The sequence below is a fragment of the Homo sapiens genome, chromosome 2, assembly GCF_000001405.40.
Source record: "Homo sapiens chromosome 2, GRCh38.p14 Primary Assembly".
NCBI lineage: Eukaryota > Metazoa > Chordata > Mammalia > Primates > Hominidae > Homo > Homo sapiens.
In genome coordinates, this window is record NC_000002.12 from 158,602,124 (window position 1) to 158,620,355 (window position 18,232).

The 18,232-nt window shown below is 35.2% G+C and overlaps 1 protein-coding gene across 14 annotated transcripts in view, besides 1 other annotated feature; it reads left to right on the forward strand.

Annotated features, from left to right (window-relative positions):
* Positions 1-18,232, forward strand: part of PKP4 (plakophilin 4) — a 224,478-nt gene that overhangs the window by 145,172 nt on the left and 61,074 nt on the right. For all 14 annotated transcript variants that reach the window (NM_001377220.1, NM_003628.6, NM_001005476.4 and 11 more), the window contains one exon: positions 947-981. In NM_001377220.1, the coding sequence (NP_001364149.1) occupies positions 947-981 (35 nt within the window). The remainder of the gene's footprint in view (positions 1-946; positions 982-18,232) is intronic.
* Positions 17,434-17,728: an enhancer, noted in NCBI's record as "tiled region #6347; HepG2 Activating DNase unmatched - State 14:Gen5'". NCBI's record gives its function as "activates a minimal TATA promoter and a strong SV40 promoter by Sharpr-MPRA in HepG2 cells {active_cell/tissue: HepG2}" and the evidence as "EXISTENCE:reporter gene assay evidence [ECO:0000049][PMID:27701403]".

The window sequence follows — 18,232 nt, forward strand, 5'->3', positions numbered from 1 at the left end:
TAGACTTCTAGTCATATTGTCTATGTGTCTGTATGTGTTTAATGCAAAAATGGGATCACAAGCTGTTCTGCCAGGTAGCACAGTGATAAGGTGCACGAGTTTGGAATCTGACCAGGAGTCCTGGGTGTGGTTCCAGCTCTTCGAGTTACCAGCATGTGTTTCTTTGTCTGTAAGATAACAATAAGGGTGTACCTATTCACAAGATTGTGATAAATAACATAAAGGAGATCATATGTGAAATGCTTAATCTAGCATTTAATAAATGCTTAATAATCCATTCTGTTGTTCCTGTATTCTGCTACACTGTCCCTGTAACACCATGGTTTCCTGTATTGATTGGGGCAAGAGAGGTGGCAAGCAGGGAGGCACTGATATGTTTTTATTCACAAATTTTTTAAATGCACCCTCTAATAACCAAGGAAAATACATAGCTGTCACTTTATCCTGGCTTATAGGACCTTATATTTTTGATATGAAGTTCTGCGTTTTAAATTTTATAAGGCAATATTCAATTCAAAAGTGGCCTCAGTAATTTTTGTCTCTGTTCTAATTGCTGCTTTTGAAAATACATAAAATAAACTGTTTAACAGCCTTTTTGGTTCTTTTTCATATATATGATACGTATGTGGTTTTCATATTATCACGAAAAAACTGTAGTACATCATGTAAGTACTGTGAATATCATACAGTTGTGCTGTTTTGTCTTCTTCAAGTAGAATTTTATGTCATTTTATAATTTGCCTTAATTTCCAAATAGAAACAATTTTTGTCCCAATTTTAAATACTATCTAAAAATTAACTTAGATAAGTTTAAATTTTATTTAAGGTTTTTGTGCTCTTGTATAATTTAATGTGGAAATTAAATGTTAATATGCAAAACAGGTCCTAAGCTAAATTTTATGACAAAATAAATAAATGTTCCATTTTTTTCTTTCTTTTTCTTTAGCTCAACTGAGAAGTCATTTCCTTGGAGATCAACAGGTATGTTTTTTATTATATAAAAGTTATGTTTGATAAACACAAATTACATAGCCTACTCTCTTAACTTACTATCTCTTGGTGAAATAAGCCAAGCAAAGCCTTTAATAGTGACAATATTGCGCTACATTGCTTTGGAATAGTACTTAATATGCTTAAGTTTTTAGTATAATTGAGTAAATTTGTGTATGTCAACTGTAATGAAAAAGCATTGAACAGCAGCATTTTTAATATTAACCCCATATCTGAAAGTTTCCATTTCCATCATAAGAAAACACAGGGCTGACTTCAAAAAAAGTTATTACGTAATCAAGAAAGCTGCTAATTATACAAGTTGGGTATTTCACTGTGTTTATCATACTCAGAGAAAAGTCGCTTGAAGTTTTCATTTTTTTAATGTATCCACATGTAGAATATCTAGTAGCTTCTAACATAGTGTGGTAGCTTTCCATGTAGTCTCTCTATCTTTTCTTTTTAACCTAAATTCACCACATAGGAAGGATGAATTACATTAAGGAGACTGTCTGTCACTTACATAAATCGTTGATGTCTTCATACTCAGCCTTCACTCAATAAATGTTTATTGAGTATTCACATAATGTACCGGGTGCTGTGCACATTGCTGGGCAGAGTGATGGGCATAACACACACTTGTCCCTGTCCCCTTCCCCCATGGAGCTTACATCGTAATCAGTAATGTGAACAATGTTGTAATGCTGGAATAGGCATTGATGTGTAAATACTTTGGCCCTTTTCAAACAAGACTTGAATTGAGGAAGACTTAGATAACCAAATGCCCAGTATCTGAGTTTATCTAAACCTAGTGCCAGGATTCTGGTGTTCCTTATACTGCATACAAGGCACTTGGCTGTCATACAAAGAAGTTCTTTCCCCCAGAAAAATAGCGTTAACTCAAACTGTTGATGAGGCAGAAACGTGAAAAGCTACCTAACAATAAGGCTTCTAAACAACAGTTTAACACAAGGCAAGTCACACCATGAAATAATATGTGGTTAACTGCCAAGTAAGTATTATGTGGGAAATACTGATATAAGTGGACAGCCCACATCTGAGATGGCAGAGGAGATGGTCCTGCAGCCTTGGGCTTGATGGGCGGCTCTGGAGAGGGCATTGTCACTGGGCAAAAGAAGAGACAACACAAGTGTCACGGGAAGGGAACATTTAAAACTGGTTTGGGAGGTGATAAGACGTGCAAAGTCTAGAAGGCTGAATTGGCTGAAATTACAGAGATCTGTAAGTTCCAGGGACTTTATACTCTCTCCGTGATCATGGGGAGACACTGAAAATTCTTGAAGCAAAATGTCATATTATTTAAACATTTCTCAGAAGAAACAGCAGAGGTGTGAACTGGTGGGAGGAAAAATTAGTGACAAGATAGACCAATTGAAAGCTTACTGCAGAATTTGGTGTGTGAGATCATCTAGGCAATTCATAAGGATTTAGAGGCTGGTGTGGTGGTCAGGTGGGTAGGCAATAACTGTGAGGTTTTGCGTTTGGGAGGATGGTACAGTTAAAACAATTAGGAGTGTCAAAATGGAGAGCCAGTTTCGGTGGGGGTGCTCTGGACCACAGTGTGAGATGTGTTGGATTTGAGATGATTAAAGGGCAGCAAGTGACACCACTCAATAAGCATTTAGAAATGTGATTACTAAAGAAAGCCTTTATTCAAATGTGAAGAAAACACTTCTGTTAAACCGATAGGTCCATGCATATTAATACTTTATTATGTGGTTCAGACATGTGGGCCAGAGTGCTGTGGATAAGGGACAACTGAGTTAGAGAAAGCATGCCTGAAACCTAGGAGAGCAGCCTATGCCAGGAGAAAGCTGCTGCTTCTTATTCTTGGGAGGTAATGAGAGAATGATCTGAAATCTGACCAAGGCGGACAGAGGGAGTCAGGTGAGATGCAGTGTTATTTCCCCCACTTTGTCACAGCATTTAAGGTCGTTACTGAGAGTGGGAGCCATGTCTGCTCTGTTCAACAAAGTATTCCAAGGGCCTTGTGTGTGGATGGTAGACCCTAGGTGATTCACCACCTGAGCGAATGAATACTGCATACATGAACGAATAGTAAATGCTGCTTTACACGTCCTAGGAATATTTCGTGTGCATATATTAGCTTCACAGCCAAATTCTAAGCTCTTGCAAAGTGTCTCTTTTTTCTCTCCTACTTCATGCCTAGAAAATGCCCAACCTTTAGAAGGTATTAAAAGTATACCTAATGAGTAAATGAGGTGAATATTTTCATTTAGTAACAAAATCTATATTTTGAAAAAATATATACACAAGGAAGTTATGTTTTTAAAAGTGACAAGAACTATTTTTGATTCATAACTTGACTCACAATGCCTTAAAACCTTTATAGCCTAACAGGACGTTAGTACAGTATTGCAGGTTTGTTTTTTTTATGGCAAATTTGGCACACATGCATGTGAACTTAATTTTTTGTTTGTTTCTCTTAACAGCCTTTTCTTTCTTTATGTATAATATACAAATTTCTTTATTATAATAGCTTTATTGAGAGATAATTCATACTATATAGTTTACCCATTTTAAGAATACTCTTAAATTTTTTTTAGTATATTCTGACTTGTGCATCTATCACCACAATTTTAGAACATTTTCATCACCCCTAAAAGAAACCATGTGCCAGTTAGCTGTCACGCCATTTTACCCCCAAACTTACCAGTCTTAGGCAACCACTAATCTATTGTACTTTCTTTCCTTATGGATTTGCCTATTCTAGACATTTCAGTTGAATAGAATCATACATGTGGTCCTTGTGGCTGGTTCCTTTCACTTGGCATGATTTTTTCAAGGTTCATCCTTATCATAGCATGTAACAGTAGTTTATTCCTTTTTATGGCTGAATAATATTTATTCATTCATCAGTTGATGGACATTTAGGTCTTACTACTTTTGTCTGTTATGAATAATGCTTTTATGACCATTTGTATAAAAGTTTTGAATATATGTTTTCAGTTCTCTTAAGTATAAACCTATTAGTGGAATTGCTAGGTCACATGGTAACTCTGTGTTTAACCCGTTAAGCAACTACCAGATTATTTTCCAGAGTGGCTGTACCATTTAACATTTCCACTAGTTAAAAATAACGGTTCTACAGGAGAATGGTGTGAACCCGAGAGGCAGAGCCTGCAATGAGCGGAGATAGCACCACTGCACTCCAGCCTGGGCAACAGAGCGAGACTCCTTCTCAAAAAAAAAAATAATAATAAAATAACAGTTCTGATTTCTCCACGTCCTCTCAAACACGTTATTATCCTTTTTATTATAGCCGTCCTAGTGGGTGTGAAGTAATTTGTTGTATTTTAACCTTACCAACTGCCTTCATCTCGACTTTCTTCTTTACTTTGTAAATATAATTTTTCTCCTGATTCTAAATGTAATATATACTCATCAAAAGATATTTGGAAAATATTTAAAAAGTACAAAAAGTGGATAAAATTACTTATAATCAAGCTCATCACTTAGCCTTTCTGTGCATTTGTGTGTTACATACAGTTTTTTTACCTTTTGAGAGAAATGGGGAACATACTGTATATGCAGTTACATTTGCCAGTTTTTTTCATGTAATATAAAATTCTTCAAATTCATCTTTAAGAATGCATAATTAATTTATTTCTGAAATAAATAAACACTTTTCTAGCATGTAATTGTCAATGTTTAAAGCAAACATCCTTGCCCTCTTAAGAACTTCAGGTTTAATGAAGGTGAGCTATAGTGGAGATGTATAACTATATTCAGTTACAGTTGGGAGATAGGGGAATTCTATAAGGGAAAATCATAAGTATATACGTATTTACCCATATCTCTAGTATCGGACATTCAGATTTTTTCTTATTTTTTACTATTTTAAATAACAGTGTGGTAACCATCCCTATATATAAAATTGTATTGGTACCTTTGATTTGCCTTAGGCTGGAATTTCAGGAAGAAAATTATTTAAAGTACTTGAATATTTTAATGCTTTTGCTATATGTAACCAAGTTGCTTTCCTGAAAGATTGTATTAATTTTCCCTCCCTCCAGGTGTATGGGATTGATCTTCTCATATTGCCACATTAGTGTCATCATTTGTATTTCTAATTATCTAGAGAATATAGAAGTACAATATAGATTGCCCTTTTCTTTTCTATTGGAGACTTAGTGTTTGATGGATAAGAGTTCTTTGTAACCCAAGGATAATAGGTGTATTTATTAGCCAGGGTTCAGCTGGGAAAACAGAACCCATGCCAGGTAGTTCAACATACGGAATTTGATACAGAAAATGTAGTTACGAAAGTGTGGGTTGGAAGATATGAGTGATTAAACAGGATGATGAAGCACCCAAGAGATAATGATACCAGAAAGCTGCTATCATCCCTAGGACTGCAGAGGCAAAGGGGTAGGTAGATGGTTTTGTCAGTGTCCTAGAGCTGGAGCAGTGGGAGGGGCTTCAGACGGGGAGATTTCCAGCATTAGGTGAAACCAGGAAGGAGATGCCACCCGTGCCAGAAATGTTGTTTAAAATAGAGCCAGAGAAATACCCTGATTTCCCCATGCAATTTTTCTCCTAACCCTCACCAGTCTATACACTGGCTGAACTGAGCTGGAGAGGGCAGTTGTGGATTTTTAATTACCAAAAGCCAAGCAGACACTGCATATAATCATGTGTTGATTTACAGTCTAGAGAGAATGAGTTTAGATTATGAAGACACATTAATTATAGTGGACCTATGGCCTTGGCATCCTTTCTACCCCTTCCCCGTTGCTTAAGTCATTTGACTGCCATCTTCAGGGTTTTTATCATGGCCAAGTAACAAATATAAGAGTACAAAAAAATAGAAAAAAACAATAAGACCTACTATTTGATAGCATAACAGGGTGACTATAGTCAATAATTTAATTGTACATTTCAAAATAACAAAAGTATGATTAGATGATTTATAACGCAAAGGATAAATGCTTAAGGGGATAGATACACTATTCTCCATGATGTGATTATTATGCATTACATGCCTGTATCAAAACACTTAATATACCTTATAAACATATATACCTTCACTGTACCCACAAAAATTTAAAATTAAAAAATTAAGAGAAACCCATATATACTATTACGTGCTTAGTATTTTCCTTTAAATTAAAGTTTTCAAATCTTTTTTTTACTTTTCTAGTAGGCTGTGCAATCAGCTGCTAAATATAAAAATATATATGGTACACAAATGTATTAAATGATTTAAATTGAATACATAATAATTAAATGTTGTCCAAATAGCTCCTCAAGTACTCAAGTACTTTAGTGTTAGGCAGATACTAATTCAGTGGCTAATCTCCCCTCGCCACAGGTGTGTCCATAATTCACACTTAATAACTGCATAGTTCCTTATTTTTCTCAGAGCACACTCTTGCCTAAAACTCATATTCAAGCCTAGTAGTTACATTTACTAATTTTTTTTCCTTTGAGGGGAAGGAGGAAGGGTATTAACTTCTAAACACAGCAATCACAACTGGTATTTACTTTCTAATATTTTAACTGTATAATGTTGTGGTTTTTCTTAAGTTTACCCACTTTTCAGCCATATTTATGACATTTAAATTGTAACCATGGCAATAAGCTATAGTTAGAAGAGTAGCAAATTGAAAATTTATGAATAAAATAGTAAAATCTTATTTTCTTTTCTTTCTTTTTTTTTTTTTTTTTTTTTTTGAGACGGAGTCTTGCTCTGTTGCCATAGCCGAAGTTCGGTGGCGCCATTTTGGCTCACTGCAACAGCCACCTCCTGGGTTCAAGAGATTCTCCTGTCTCTGCCTCCTGAGTAGCTGGGATTATAAGCGTGCACCACCATGCCCAGCTAATTTTTGTTTTTTTTAAATTACAGACAGGGTTTTGACATATTGGCCAGGCTGGTCTCGAACTCCTAACCTCAGGTGATCCGCCCAACTCTGCCTCCCAAAGTGCTGGGATTACAGGCATGAGCCACTGCACTGGCCCATATTTCCTTTTCTAGTAACTGTAGATGCTATTTATAACTTTGAGTATATATTAATAATTGGGATAAAACAGCAGTGTTGCTGCTGCTTTTTCTATAAATTTTGACAATTGTTTTTTTTCTTTGCTGCTTTGACTGCAAAGATACTGAAGATAATATGAAAATCATCTATCTTAGAATTAGGCAGTCCTACTCAGAATAAATGAGGAGTGGCTTAAATTTGAAAAATATTTAAAAGACCATCAGTCCACTTAGTCTTTGGCTGGGTCTTGACAAAAGCAACCTCTTTATTCGTTTTTTGGTTTCCTATACAAAATTTCACAAAAGGATTTAGGATTGAAGGTCCTCATTTATCCTCATTTATTTTTATACTTTGCATGTTTACTTTCAGACACTTTCTCTACCTTTTTTCTTAAGTTTTACAAATTTGACTTGAAAAGCTTAGCTCTTTAAAAGCCTTTCAGCAATAGGTGGATTGTTAGAGATGCAATGGTTTGATCACTGCTTAGGAGCGATCCCTGCTTACTCAGGTGTTTTCAGGATGTTATATTCTGTTGAAATGTGGTAAACTGGAACCAGCCTTTGAATTGGATTTTTAAATAGCTAACCTACTGCAGCATCATTTTCTAAGGAAGAGCTTAGGATGCCCTAGGCAGAAGAGATTTTCATTTCACTCTCATTTCATTAGATTCAGGAGACTCTAGCTTGCTTGTTTGTGTGTTTATTGTTGAGGGGCTGGGGGCAGAAGTTAAGGAGGGTAGGACATTTGAAAACAAAAAGCCCAAGTTTCTGAAGTATGGGAGCTGAGAAAGATACTTCCCAAAGAACGAGGAAGAGCTGCCCATTCTGCCAAACATTTTTATTTTCTCAGGTCTTTAAACTTCTTCCCTAGAAGTAATAAAGTTGTTTTGGAGCATTTATGCTTTATTATTATCTTGACTTTTGCCCTTTCTCTTCATTATTCTGTACCCTCTAGCTTACCAGTGTTACATATTTGCATTCTAAAAATATAAATGCACATCTTTTGTGTTTTTTTATGAGGAGCAGTTTATTTATGTTTCAGCTTTGTCTTTTCTTGCATGTCTTATAACCTTGTGTATTCTGCTGAAACATTTCCGAGGGAATGTTATGTTAGCGCTCCCTTCTGTTTCCATAATATTAGTGTGTCAGTTTTTCCATTGTTCACTGCTTCACATCTCGAAATATACAATCTCTGTGTGCCATCAAAATTTGAGGTAACTTGTAAGAACGTATATAATACAATAAAAAATAAACATCAAAATCACAGAAAATACATACTAGAATAATAGGTAAAGGGTGATGAAAGTGAGAAGCATGTATAATCATAATTCTTCATGAGCGAAAATGCTATACAGAATCTTTTTCTTTAAATCCTTTGAACGTACCTCTTTTTAAAGAAAAACACCAACTCAATAATAAAAATAGCTACACACAGTATATGCTACCCATCAGAAAGAATCTATAGGTTGAAGCCATGGATTGAAGTTTTTTTGTCAAAACAGTCATTGATTGTTACTTAGGTCCCCCAGTCACATTCCATGAAGTGAATTTTGCTGCAAGTCACAATATCACAGTTTTTCTGTTTGCGAGAAAAAAAAATTACTAGAGTTTAGGTGGTTGCCAACTTGAGTAGATCTGTGTAAAATGCAGGGGAGGAGAATCGGCCTCAGAATCCAGCCTCCCTCCGCCCCAGCTCTTCCTAGCACATTAGACCAGGAGCAGTCCGTCTTACAGGGCTGGAATGTGCTGCTCTGTCCCCACCAGCCAGCCAGCCAAGCTCATTCTTTTTAACACTGCTGTGTTCCTAGAAAAAGAAAGTGTTCGAGAAATTGATGGATGTTACGTAGGTGATAAAGAATTGGTGCTCATGGGTAAGAAATTAGAGGCCAAAAAAGATTGGAATCTCTACCAAAACAACAAGTGAGAGAAATTTTCTGGTTGACTCAGAAGGCACTGAGGGGTTAATAGATTTGGATGAACAGGAGAGAAAATAGTAACAATTCTGTGCAGTTAGGAGTTTTGATGTTTGACAGTAAATATGGAAGGGAAGAAAAAAGACCATAGTAAAATAGGAAGTTTAAAACTGATTCTATAACTTCACAGTGCTGCATTCATTTATTGTATAACAGGTATTGAAGTGGTATGATTTTAACATACTATTCATTTAAATCATTACTGTGTGAAATACTGGCATTAGTTAATGTTTACTACTAAATTTAAGACTGTAGGAGCTAGGCTGTGCATTTTGTTTATGTATTTAAATTTTGTTTCTAAAATGTATAGATACAAGTTTCTTCCACTGGGATGAGCTTTAAAAAATAAAAATAAAAAAACATCAATACCGAAGATAAATGACAAATGAGAAAGTAGTCCTAAGTCAATTTATCTTTTCTTTTTTCCTCCATCTGGTGCAAGTAATTTACAACACAAAAATTCATCAGCACATCATGAGATAAGAAGTTGACTTAAATTGAAACACTTTATGCCTCAGTAGAAATGTACTGAATTTATAAAGGAGATACAGTAGGAAGTGAGTGTTGTATTGTACATGTTCATAAACAAAATATTAGATCAGCAATCATGTATAAAGGACTATTATTGAGGATTTTGGATGCCGTCATTTATTATAGCCATAAACTTTACAAATGACAAAACTTTATCATATATTTCTTCCTGTTTCTCTTCTAAATATAAGGATGATAAGAATTTCTTTTAAAATCAGCTGTAGAGTACAAGTTTCTCTCCCTTATTTTCTACAGGCCCATTTAGCCACACAGTCTTGACTGCCTTTTTACCAACTGCAGTGCTATAGCTTCCTGATTGCCACTATAAAAGCTCTTCTTAACTTACTGTTTTAAGATGAAAATAAGATATGCTTCTTTAAAAAAAAAAAAACAGCCTGGAAGAATCTGAGTAAAAGGTAGAAATTTCCTTCATTCCAACATGTTCCCATACCATGACCAACACACCTACACAACTGCACACACACACACACACATAATGTATAGGAAAAAATCTGGAATAATGAAACACCCCAGACTGTTAACTGTGTTTGTATGTATGTCTAAGTATCCACACACATTTGAGTTGTTTGTTTTGGTTTAACACAAATGAAGATACACTCTACGTTATTCTGTGACTTTTAAGTTTTTCCCCTAACATTACAAAGTAATGGATGTGTTTCTATATCAGTATATAAAGCCCTATTTCTTTTTAATGGCTAAATAGTATTCATCGTTTGAAAATTTATATAACCAGTTTCTTATCAGTGAACATTTTGTTTTTTCCAGTTTTGTACTTTGACAGACAATGAGAAGATTCTTTCTGCACATATATGAGTGTCTCTGATAGGATTTCTGTAACTGAAACTTCCTGGACAAGGGTGTATACATTTTAATTTTGACAAATATTGTCAGTTTGCCCACCAGAAAGCTTAACAATTTATGCTCCTACTGATAGCACCTGGTAGTCCTATCTACACTTACTATGTTACCAGAGTACAGGAATGTAAATCTTCATGATTATTTAAAATTTTAATAAGTTACTAGGCTTTAACAAAAACATTTGTTTCAAATTTCTCTATATCATAAAACAGGAACAGATTGAACAAAGTAAGATAATTTTTAAATATCATTATTAACTATTCATTAAATCATAACACTCCATGGAAACTTGAGCATACCCCGGACCATCATGCTAATTAACTCGTTCTCATGGAGATTGGAGATCAGCATGACCTTAGAATATAGTAAAAGTATCATACTGTTTCCTGTCAGTTTGGCTTTCTTCTGTCTTCATAGCTGGCTCAAAATGATCAGATACATTTTTCTATCATGAAAAATGCAACAACCACTACCAAATCAAGCAAAAAACAAACTTAAAAAATCACCACTGGATATAATTGTGGGTGCCAACATCTCACTCCAGAGGTTCCTACACACTGCTATACTTCAGAGTCACCTGCAGAGCTACTAAAATCTTGACGCCCAGGCATCACCCCCACACAATTTAGTTCGAAAGTCTGAGTTGGGAACCAGGCGTCAGTGGGGTTTAACGAGTCCCCAGGTGACTCCAGTGTGCACAGTTTGAGAACCACTGCTTTATTCTAAAACCTAGTCATTAAAGAGAAGAATTAAAAATTTATCCTGCCTGTCCTGTTCATATTTCAGGATAAGTAAATAATCCTAGCTATTATGTAAAATATTCCAAAAGAATTCCTGCTGATAAATGTAGAAAGAATAACAAAATTAGAAAAATCACTAGTTTGCAAGCCCTAATGAAATAATTCAAGCAAAGATTGTCAGTGGATGCTAAAACCTCTTAAGTTCCCAACCCTAGCTGCACAGTAGAATCACCCTGGGAGTTTTTTAAAGTTCCATTATTCAGAATACAGCTTAGACTGATTGAATTGGAATCTCTGAGTGTGGGACTTGGACAGCAATAGTGTTAAAATTCCACCCAATTTTCAACCCAGGTGATTGCATTGTACAACCAAGGCTGAGAACCATCGCATTAGGAGACAGATTGGTGGTAAACTTGACAGAGGATTAGGCTGCCACTACCTGCATTGCCTGATAGATCTTAGCAACCCTGAAAGTTGTAATGTGAAAGGTGTGATGTACATGGCACCATTCATAAAGTATGCTACCCACAAAGGCTTGACCTGAAAGCTTTTAGCTATAACCTTCTGCTTAAAGAAATAGTGTATTTAGAGGAATAAGTAAATGACATGAGAAAACCATCAGATAAATTCAGGATGTGGAACAACTTAAAAGTGTATTGCTGCAGTTTCCTCAGTTCATCAAAAACATGAAAATGAAGGAATGGGTGCCCCTTTCTAAATTGAGGGACTTAAATCAGTTGTACTCAAATGCAATCAGGAAACCTTATTTCAGCTTGACGAGTACAAGCCAACTGAAGAAACACATTTCCAAGACATCTGAAAAATTTGAATTTGAACACACTATATGGCATTATGGAATAATTATGGTTTTATGAAGTCCTTATTTTATAGAGATACAAATGGAAGTATTTAGAGTTGAAATGATCCGACGTGAGAGATTTGTTTTGAACTTCTACAACAAAGGAAAAAGATAATGGAAAAAAGTATGCATAAAGTAGAACTTTTATATATGTTTAAAACTTCAATTACAAAAAAATTAAATACAAATGCTTTAAACAAAAGTTTTGAAATATCAAGGCAAAAATGGTGTGCTGGAGTGACATGGTAAAGCCAGCAAAATTTTGACCATATTCTGAAGGTCAGCCCTGACATAAATGATATGAAGAAACCAACTATGAAATGGATGCATGAGTTTCCCAGCCAGTGGATATTACTTAATTTGTAGTTTCCACATATTTGGGATTTTATTAAATGAATTTTTATCGAACAAATTACCTATATTATACAGAAGATCAGCCTTTCAAGTTTAGAACGATAGATGTCTCAATATGTTTATCGTGGGCCACCACCAAATAAGAATATTAGATTTTGCCCTAGCAAACATAACATCTAAATATTCCAAAGCCACTTATGCATGATATATGAACAGATTCCCAAAAGCACATTATATGAAAATCAAGAATCCAGTTTTAGCCTTTAATATTTTATGTTTGATATAAACATGCCAAATATTTAAACTTTCTCATGCTTTTAGTGATATGTGAAGAAATGTGCTACTATCTAAAATAAAATAGAAATTGTCAAGTCTGAAAACCCTTCTTTTTCTATTACCACCTCCTCAAAACACAGAGCCTTCGATCCTCAATTTACAACTGTTGCTTTGGGAAACATCTGAAAGCCACCCTCTATAATTTCACATTTCATTCTTATGACAAAGTTAGTCTGCATGTGGCTTTATCTTAGTATATTTTACAAAAAAAAAAAATAACTAGTGGAAAAATATAGAAGATCTTATTTCAAAAGAATCGTTTCTTTCTTTTTGATAGTGAATATCATCCTTTATAGGTTTGTGTTTTTAAGAAGGTTTTTTTGGTTTTTAACAAAAGGAATCTTATTTTGTATCTCCCACTGACAGATATTCCCATTTCTATATTTGGTAATTTTTTTTCCCAAAGAGAATAAAAAGTGTCTTTGAAAAATATTTTAGAGTGATTTTTGATCACTTAATTGTATTTTCCATAAGCTGACTTTTTATATCACAATGAATCCCTTACTTATCCCTTTTTCAGCTTTCCTAGATAGGAAGCAAGAGCCCCTCAGCCATTTATGAAGCCTGTTAAACTCAGTATTGGGCAATTTATGTCTTGTTCATTTCATTTTGTATTTATAATTCTTAGTTTCTTGGTTTTTTTCTTGTTTTCCTTTTATAGGTATAAAGTATAAATTTTTATGGTAGCTGTGACATCTGTATTTTAATTAGTATCCAGACTAAAAATACTTAACACTCATTTTTATATGACTATTTGTGGAAATTTCTCTTCAGTTTATTTTTTGTAAAATTTATTTTTAATGGTTTTATATTCTTGGACAGAATTTATATATGACCAGGAGATCTCTTTTAGTTTAGTCATTGTGGAAATCACTACGATACCAGTTTATGCATTCACAAAATTTGCTTATACTATAGATTCGAATCCAGGCAGTCAAGCTTTACAGTGAATTTCAAGACAGACTAGTTGATGCTTAAAGCAGAGTTTAAAGTGAAGTAGAAGATACTTCGTTAATGGTTTCCATTTTCCGAGGCCTTTTTATACAACACTTTTTAGACGGGTAAAATTTTTAGAGCCATTGCCTGATTAATATTGATAAGATAATATAAATATGCACAAGACCCAAGAATCTAGAAACCCTCAAGAACCAGACCAGAAATAGTTTCAAGAAACATGGTCTTTCTGCCTTTCCTTATGTCTTCACTTCCATTGAAATCCAACTTTTAAATGATATCCTATGTATATAGTAGCTTATATTTGAATCAACAAACTCCAAGTATGTGTAATATTCTTAAAATATCTGTCAACTTGTATTTTCTCCTGTGGAGGAAGGAATACTATTGGTGCTTCATGTTTCCGTCACCCTGAAACAACATTTCTCACTCTGAAACAACGTTTCCCAGTGACCTCATTCCCTCTGATGATAAGCATACCTGCTATAGAAATAAATCTTGTATGTCACAGAAGGTACTAAAGAGGAGAAATCTTTTTGGTGCCACCACCTATGTTCTCTTCCAGAATTTGGCTTTGCTTTTTTGCCGTAGGAGGCACTGGACAATTTCTGCACCTCTGTGGAAAGTAGACTCCTTCGTAAGCCTGTGGTCCTACAGGAAAGGAGAGCCCCATGACCAGAGAGGAAGTTGAGTCCATGTAACACAACAGTTTCTACTCATTTTTTCCACAAAATGTTGCCCTCTGGGTATGACAGCCTAACCTCAGCTCACAAGCCAGAGAGTTGGAAGAAACCGTCAAGGAAGAGTATCATCTGCCTTAACCTCGGGTGCTATTGCTGTCCCAAGAGTCCTGCCAAAACTCACACCACACTGTCTTTTATGTAAGGGCAAACCCCTAAACACCATAGCAACTCAGAACAGACTCAAACAAGGAGAACCTGTCATGAGGTTCCAGTGTGCTGGACTATGAAAGACTAGTCACAGGGTTGTCTATACTAAAAATCTCCTTACTGATCTCTGGGTTCCTGTTTCCATGGTGATTTTACACACACTACAGACCCTGTTTCGTACAGCAAGACATAGACTAACAAAGCAGAACCATTTTAATAATTTCAGGTTCATTAAAGAGGCCTTAGACTCTTTTACTAAGCATATCTTCATGCACACACTGTATATTTGGGGATGTACATTATAAAAAAGATAAAATATCTCACTTTGTATTCCATCTTTTACCATGAGCTTAATGAGGTGGATAATATACCAGATTTTCATAGCCCTACAGCGTTATTGTCCCTTACCCACTAGTATTTTCTATAGATGCAATGTAACACTTTTTCTAATTACATAGTTTTAAATATTAGAGCACTCAAATGAAATGTAATAAGACAAGAAAGTCCATGATTCCAATAATTTTGCAGTCTTAGGCACAAATGGAGATTTCATTCTACCTTGAAGCTTGTTCAATTTCTGTATTTTTAGACATACATTTTCGAAGATGCTAATTTGATGTTTGAAAGTTCCCCATAGTATATTTCTGGTGTCCCAGAAAACATGTTTGTGAATTTTTTTTTTTTAAACCAACACATGTTCTTCAGTACACTGATTAAAGAAGTAACATTCACATGCTGTTTGCCATTTTTACTTATAAAAATGTCTCTTGATTTCTTATGCTAATTGTGCTAAATTTTAATATTCCAACTATTTAATTATAGGTTACAGCATTCATCATGAAATGGTTATTTGCACACTATATACCTCTTCTCTAGTGAATTTGACTAGTATCTTTCATTCCACATAGCAGAGGTTTTTAAAATTCATTCATCTTAAAGTAAGATTGTTTAAATAATACATAATTGGTAAATGTGAACCTTACCATACTACAGTGAGGAATACTTTATCCAGTAAAATTAGAAGATGTGTCTTCTGTTTACCTGAGATATGATGTCTGTGCATATATAGGTTTATGCATGTATATAGATAATTTGTGGATCACAAGTTTTCAAAGAAAATAGTAAAACTATTTTGAAAACCATTTAAATTTCTTTTCATAAATCAGAATAGATTTCAGGATACTTTGATCTCTGCAGCTATTCTTCATTATCATTGGGCTCTACTAAGGAAACAGAAAAATAACTGAATGGCCGAGCACAATGGCTCACGCCTGTAATCCCAGCACTTTGGGAGGCCAAGATGGGCAGATCACTTAGGGTCAGGAGTTTGAGGCCAGCCTGGCCAACGTGGTGAAACCCCATCTTTACTAAAAATACAGAAATTAGCCAGGCATGGTGGAACACATCTGTAATCCCAGCTACTCAGGAGGCTGAGGCACGAGAATCACTTGAGCCCAGGAGGCAGAGATTGCAGTGAGCCAAGATCATGCCACTGCATTCCAGCCTGTAGAGACTCCGTCTCAAAAAAAAGAAAAAATAACTGAAGACCTTATTTATAGAATAGAAGTTGATTGCTTTATACTAAAGTTCATATTAAATAAATCTTTTATTAACTCTTAGTTTTATATTTACTTAAAGATAGGTCACAAAACCTAAGTCCTATCCTTTAAACCCAGTTACTTAGATTTTCAAATTAGATCCTGGGTACCTGAGAATTTTGTATTTTAGTGTTCTAGTTAGCATCTCAGTGTCCTTTTCTAGATTCTGTTTTCTAGGGCGTTGCATTAAAAAATATATGAAACACAGGTCATAATATTTAAAAGGAATATGGCTGTCATATTACTTTTGGAATAATTTTGTATTGTTTGAGATACTAATTTCGTGAAGTTTTATTAGGGCAACCAGTATGGAATCACATATCTCATGATTTGTGCTTTCTCTAAGGTTATTTATTTTAAATAGCTTCTCATAAGGAAGAGTTTAAATGAGCAAGATTGTTACATGGTTTCTGAGAATATGTTTCATTGAGTGAAAAGACACAATTTCTGAGCTACAATTTTTAGGGTATGTTTCTCTTTTTCTGTTTTTTTTTTAAGCTCTGAATAGCTTTTTTTAAAAAGTGGGTGGGCAGCTTACATAAAATTCTAATGGTTTTGGTTTCCATGGTGAAAAATGTTGAGACCCTGACACTACATGCCACCTAGTGTTTCTAAGCCAAAAGCTTTAATATATTGGTGTCCTAGATTTTACCTTATATTTAAGTAAAGCTGAGAACTATCTGAACATCTTTTTCTTTTCCAAGACAGAACATTTTTCCATGTATGTGAAGCCTTGAGGCTACCACAGTGGTACTTTTTATCTGTAGTTTCTTGCTAGTTCGTATTTGCTTTCCCAGGGTTTCCGTCCCTGATGGAACAAAGGTTGACTGCTGCATAGCTCTGATTTCAGGCCAGCACCTGTGCAGCTATTCCCAGCTATTCCAATTCCTTGGTATTTTACTTAGTCCTTAGCAAAACTCCTTTGAGAATTACTGTATAAGAATGTTTAGAACTCTGGAAAACTCATGATAGAAGATGTACAAGTAAAGCAGAGCACTTTCTGGTATTGTCAGCCTGACAGTGACTCAGCTCATGTTTCAACGTGTACCAGGGAAACCATATACAATCTTTAATCTTTGTTGAAATTCCAAACTGAAGCAATCAGAACTGTCACAGAATTCTACCATACAGAAGCATTCTGTCAAATAATATAACAGGAGACAGGTCGGTAAAAACCTATACTAAGAATGTCAGCTAATCTTTCCAGAGGCTAGGAAACAAAACCTTGAATTGAATCTGACATCAAGTTAAAGGTTTAGAATGCAGTGGGATTTCCCACTTCTCCCTTAAACCTTGTATTCACCTTCTAAAGCAGCTTAATCAGCAGTCCCTAAGAAGTTTGCTTTACATAGCCAAACTTCATTGAACACAGTAAGGTAAAGCCACAATGCAATGCCAGGCATGAGTCAGCACTCAGTAAAAGGAAGCTGCTGTTGTTACTGGGAATTTGCTTGTTCAACAAATATTTACTGAGCACCTACTGAGTACTCTGCACCATCCTAGACACTGAGGATATAACAAACCAGATAAAAGTCTGTCTGTCCTCGTGGAGCTTATATTCTAGTGGGGAGAAATGGTGATAAGCGCTATACAGAAAGAGAAGGCTGGCCTCCTGTGGTAAATGGATGCTACTTAGATGTTACTTCCTTTAGGAAGATTTTCCTAAGCTCCATTCCCCCAGACACACACACACACGCACACACACACCCCTTACCTTCTCTCATAACTGCATAGGGCCTGGCATGTAATAGGGCCCAGAGGGAGACAGGGAGGGAGGAAAGGAGGTAGACATTTAAATCCTTAGGATTGTATGTTAAACTCAGAATGTGATAAGAACTTAATTATCTTTGAAGTGAGAGTGAAGTAGCATTTCTGAAAGAAAGTTTGTTAATAATATAAGGGTTAAATGCAAGGAAGGAATGGCTTGTATTGAAGTCCATCAGAAAATGGGAAAATACATTTTGAAGATATTAGAGAAAGAAGGACATACGGGAATCGAATTGGGAAAAGGAAGCATGATCTACACCACCTAAGTTTACGGCATAAAAAACAGAAGTTTGAATGGGGTTTGTTTTTTTCAAGTTCAGGATGGCAAATGGTACTGTT